At 33.7% G+C, this 5,909-nt stretch overlaps 1 long non-coding RNA gene across 1 annotated transcript; it reads left to right on the top strand.

The window, feature by feature from the left end:
* The first annotated feature begins 1,903 nt into the window (after positions 1-1,903).
* LOC105370292 (uncharacterized) lies at positions 1,904-5,228 on the top strand. The gene is made up of 2 exons (XR_001750064.2): positions 1,904-2,594; positions 4,874-5,228. It is a non-coding gene; the product is annotated as an uncharacterized LOC105370292 (long non-coding RNA).
* Positions 5,229-5,909: the final 681 nt, after the last annotated feature.

The following is a 5,909-nucleotide window of genomic DNA, read 5'->3' as shown; positions in this document are numbered from 1 at the left end:
TAGACCAAAAAATAATTTGGGGAAGTTACTAGCTGAAGAAAAGTACCAGTAGCCAATAGAGATGTTGGGAAAAGAAAAGACTTAAGCAAGAAGAACCCATTAACTCTCTCAGAAGAAACTGGGACCCAGGAAACCACAGCAAAGATTCCTCTCAACATTTGGATGGATTCCACAGTAAGTCATTGAGCAAGCCATCCTTGAAGAATGGGATACCAGCACCAAATGGCTATATACTATTTGGATAGATATGAGAAGGAAGGCTATGTGATAAGCCTTAAATATTCAAGTCCTTGGTGGGCAGGCTTCAAAGTTACTTTGTTATCATGAACATAGATGCAGGTACTAAGGAAATGTGTTTCTGAGATGTATGAAGTTAGAAAAAATAGAGGAAGACACAAGCAGAATTGACTAAAGTTAGAGAAAAAATAGGGAGGGCATAATCTAGGACTATGGAAAGCACACTGAATAGGCAAAACCTTAATATAATTGAGCTATTCTCAATGGAAAATTAGTTGAAGTTTAAATGGAACCATACTCTTGAAGATCCAGAACCTAAGAAGTTATATTTCTTATAATCATTTCAGCTACATATTTATATTTGCAGGACTTGATGGACAAATGTATTTGTCCATAAACAAACACAGAACACCTAATGTCCAAGACTGAAAAGCACAGAGGTATACAGAAGAGAGGGATAGTGGAGAATGCGAGAAAAAAAAAATCTCAACTACATTCATAGAGAGAATGAGGTGGATAAAATGTTAGGGGGCCTCATAATAGAATGAGGCTGATAAAATCTTAGGGGGTCTCAAAATAGAAGTAAAATGACCATGTCTTCATGAGATCAAGGACTTACTGAAGAGCATATGACTAGTGTTTTCAAAATTGTAAAATGATGCATTTTTCCAACCAATTACTGACTATCAATATATGTCCATTATTCTAATTAGAAAGCAAAGGCTGTAAAATTGGTTAGAAGCAGAAAAGGTAGTACTAGGTGTCTTTACTGTGAAAATATCAGTTACCTACATGAGAAAATGGAGATTTAACCAGGCGCATCTGGTCAAATTTACTTCCAGAGCATCTTCAGCAAGAACTTTGCAGTAGTCATTTGAAACATGAGTTTTGGCAATATGTCTAAATAGTGTTTCAAATAGAAATGAATTTGTGAACAAAGGTTACAATGTATGCTGCCTACTTTAATGCTTAAATCTTGACTGGTCTATTTATTTCCTTTCTTCTATGATGTGGATATAAGCAGAATGTCTTCAATTATTCTGCACTATTATTTTACTTGGTTTATCCTTTATGCCTTCCTATGCAGATATATTAAAAAAGCTGAAGTTTAACTTGTGGTCATTTAGAGAGTACTTGGATTTAAGTACCAAGGAATCAGGCAGAATTGAAGGTGATTTCTTGCAATGTGTAGGGTTTGGAGAAATTACCAGGTAGTTAGGATGCAAAATATGGAAGCTTTATTCACACAAGTAGGTATTAAGACAACTGGAGAATAATTAAAGGAATCCTGGAATCGATTTTATTTATGCATTTTATTAATACATTCTTCTAATTTATTTCAGAGCTCTTTTGGCGGAAATCTTCAATAGCAGTTTTTCACTAGCCATCTTAGGCCAATGCTCAAAGGAGAAGTTCTTCATAAATGTGGGATGGACTGCTCTGATGGACTCTGCTGTTAGTCTACTTTGAGAGCAACAGATCATTCATGGTTAAGCATAGATTTAAAGGCTTAGCTCAAGGATATAAAGGAAAAAAGTCGGCCGGGTGTGGTGGCTCACGACTGTAATCTCAGCACTTTGAGAGGCTAAGGCGGGTGGATCAGAAAGAAAGAAAGGAAGGAAGGAAGGAAGGAAGGAAGAGAAAGAAAGGGAATGGGGATTAGGGATGTCTACAGCAAGGGACTACATTAGCATATCTACTCAGTACAGAAATGAAATTGTCCTTTGTTTTCTATTTTAGGTCAGAACTAAAGTAGGGTAGGTGGTGTGGTAAGTCAGCTTGGCTCACAGTCTAGTCTAGCCTGGATTTATTAGTGATTGTGATAATATTATGTGTTCCATCTGGCGCTGCCATTCTTTTATGTCTCAAATGTTTCAGAATTCAGATGGGGAAAAGGTGTATTGGGCTTTTAAAGCCCTCATAAGAGAATATTTCATACTATCAGAAAAAGGTACCACTTCTTCATATCTACTTACAAACTATCTAATAGAATTACTTGTGAGTCTGAATTGCAGTAGCAATTCTTCCACATCAACTTTTAAAGAAAAAAAAAAAGAAAAGAAAAAAGAAAAAAAAATCCCTTATCAAACACTGCAGGCAACCTCAGGTACTTCAGAATCAAGAGGCCATGCTGAGTCAGTGTTTGGAGTTGGGAGAGTGGGCTTTTAATTCAATAAGTCAGAGAGGAAAGAATGCATAAGGAAAGAGGCCAAAGGGATTTATGGTAGAGAAGGATAGAGCCAACGAATGAGGGAATCAGGAATATGGAGTGGGAAGCATTATGACAGAAGTCCAGAATGAGACTGATCTTATTTACATGCTTGAGATGAGGACAATAGCAAAAATTGCTCTAACAGGTATGTTTTAAAGAAGTAGAAAAATAAGTGGGTGCCAATTTCACTTCTACATGGCACTTGCTACCCTTTTCCTGTGATGAAAATAGAAATCAACGTACCCTGAATCTCCTTTTCTTTTCCCCTATTTATATAATTATCAAGGTTTCATTGATTGAATACATTTACTGAATTAACTTTTAATTTGTACATTAACGTAGTCAAATCAGACATCTAAATAAAATTAAGTTAAATCACATATAGAATAATAGCATTTTAATAATATTAAATTTATACTTTTTTAAATTTCCTATTTAAGAAATTGTTGAAAATTCATATAATCATAACATATTTTCCCCTTATTTTGTATCTTTAAAAATCTGGGGGAATATTTTTATCTGTGAATATGTTCATTTATTCTGTCAGTGAAAACAAACTACTTTGGATTTTTATTAGAAAATTTAAGTAGCAAGTTTTCAACTTTCAAATTTTATGTTTCTAATTCAAAAGCTGTATATATGTGTGTGCATATGTGTGAGTGTGTAACTAATATTCTCTTTATGTATTATTCTAGTAGATTATATTTTAAGTTATCTATTCACTTTAAAAGGGAATATTATGGAAAGTTCACCAACTTTCAAAAGATTCGAGCGATGTATAAAATCTCTTGTTTTACTAGGTGTGGAGTTTTGTAAAGGCCTGAATTTCAGTGGAAAAAAATGTTTAAATATGCTTTTTTCCAGGAAGCCACTGGAATCTCTAAAGTGTTCCTGGCTAACTGGGAAAAAATTGCAGGGAACCAAGAGTAGCAGATGGAAAGACAGTTGGCCAAACCTACTGCCCATACTACACTGTTGCCAAAACCCTTGAAAGTAATAGTCCATTTTGGAAATATTTGCTGGGAGAACAAATGTTTGCTAATGAAACAAACATTTGAAGTGTTAGGAAATACCCAAATAAAACAGTTTTGTAGCAGAAATAAATATTTTACTTGAGAAATCATTGCCAGAGTAAATATGCCATTTCAAGGTAAAAACAAAACAAAGCATAAAAGCTATTAGAGACAGATCACAAAATGTATAAAGAATGCAGATTTAATGGACTTTGTGTATCTATATACCTTTCAATATAATTCATGTAATGATTGATATTTCAGCAGCATATTTAAACTGCAAAAAATTTTACTTGAATAATAAAAGAATGGATATATTTGTGCTACATTGTTTTAACTTATCTATACTACTGAATATAAATGAAGCTTAAAATTGTATAAATAATCTGAAAAATCAAGGCAAATTCAACATCCTTCAAGCATACTGAGCAAAGGGCTATGTGTTGATGCTGTATGTTGAAATAAGTTTATTATTTGATTTAATTTGATTAAATTAAGTTCATGATTGTCTTAAATGTGAATGTTTTTACTTTGCTGAGATATTAGGGAGAGATATTTAATAAAAGTAAGTTCAAAAATTATGATCTAGAAATAAAAGTAACTCAAATTCTTAATATTTCTCTAGGTCCTTTTAATATTGGAAGAATGCTGCTTTTATTATCTGACTTTATCTTTATGATGGGTTAATTCTTACATAGCTCTTTTTTGAGAAGTATAAATATGTAGAATTTTGAAGGTAATGAAGGAATTTAAAATCAATGTAGTTCAATCTGCTCACTAATTACAGATGGGCAAATTGAGTTCTAGAAAGGTTAAGCTATTAGCCCAAATCATATAACAAATTAGTCACACTACCAGGACAAGACTCTCAGTCTCCTAATTCTTAGAGCAAAATTTTTAAATGTAAGGTTATTATTTTGTTTTGTCCTTCTTTATGCCATTTTCTCTACATTCTAGGAGATCAGAGTAAAATTTCATGTGACAGTATATTAAAATTAGATATATACACTTTCAAGATTTTTTGATCATTGTTATCTACTTTATAAACTGATGAGGAAGTACAATTAAATCTAAAACAGTGAAATAATGAAATTCTCTTTAAATTTTCGTATTTAACACTCTTTCAGAAAAATAATGAAGCTCTGGATTTAATGCAAACTTCATAAATGTTTTTTCTTGTTTCATTTGAACATACACATACAATGTATAATTCAGTAAATTAAGTTTAAGGTCCTGTGAAGTACAAAATTAATATTGCTGAAGAGAGGTCTGGCATTTTCCTTCATTTCCTGGGAGGTAATCTCTAAGCACATGGAATATGCTTAGATAGGAGTGCCTTATAAGAATGCCTTTGTTTACCTTCAAGACTTGGGGAATCCTAAATACTCTATGCTAACCATGTGACTTACAGTGCAGGCTTTGGACTATCTGGTAATATCTTGACCTCTGGAGGGGATGGGGACAAAGGCTGGTCATGCGGGAAGTCTACCAAAATTTGTGACTGATCATCAATAGAAGCTCTGGACACCAAGGCCTGGATGATCTTCATTAGTTGGTAGTATTCCATGGGTGTCATCACACATCAATGAGAAAAGAAAAATCATTGTTTTGCATAACTTCACTGGGAGAAACTAGAAGTTGTCCTCCACCGAGAAGACCACCAGAAGCTCATGCTCGAAAACCTCTTGGGTCCCACCCTGTGCACTCTCTCCTTGAATGATTTTAATTGGTATCCTTTCACTATAATAAACTGTCACCATGAGTCTGACAGGTTTGGAGAGTTCTGTGATTTCTTTAGCAAGTTACCAAACCTGGGGATAATTTTGGGAACCTCTGTACTTGTGGTTTGTGTCAGAAGTGAGGGTGCTGTCGGGGATTCCCAAACTTGCGGTTGGCATCCAAAGTGGGAGTGGTCTTGGGGACTCCCAAATTATGCAGGTACTAAATATAAAAGAGTTCAACTACTTTCAAATGGAAATTCTACAGGAATAAATGTTTAAATTACAGTGAAAAAGACAAAAAAAAAACTTTAACACTGTTAAGCTAGAAGAGTTACACTAACTGCCGTCAGAATTTGCTTCTGTGAAAAGCACTACTGCTAAAAACTAAAACGCAAGCACAAACAGGTTTGGTTGTTACTTAGGAAATATTCCATGATGGCCAAATTAAATTAGCATATTGGGAGTCTGAAATACCTATTGATGTTCCTTTAATACTGATATTAAAAATGATGAAGTACATGAATGTGTTCATAAAAGTGGAGAGTCAATCAAGAAAATTATTCTTTAGCATTTTAAATATTTAACATTTTAACATATTCCCGAGGAGCAGCAGCAATATTTTAACATATTTAAAATTCACAAAGTTCCATTTGAATATCCCCAAAAACTTTATGACTAGCTCTAACAAGTTTCCTCTTTGATCAGCTTTAATCGGATTTACCTTTG

This window comes from Homo sapiens, chromosome 13 (genome assembly GCF_000001405.40).
Source record: "Homo sapiens chromosome 13, GRCh38.p14 Primary Assembly".
Taxonomy (NCBI): Eukaryota; Metazoa; Chordata; class Mammalia; order Primates; family Hominidae; genus Homo; species Homo sapiens.
This window is presented reverse-complemented; position numbering and strand designations above follow the sequence as displayed.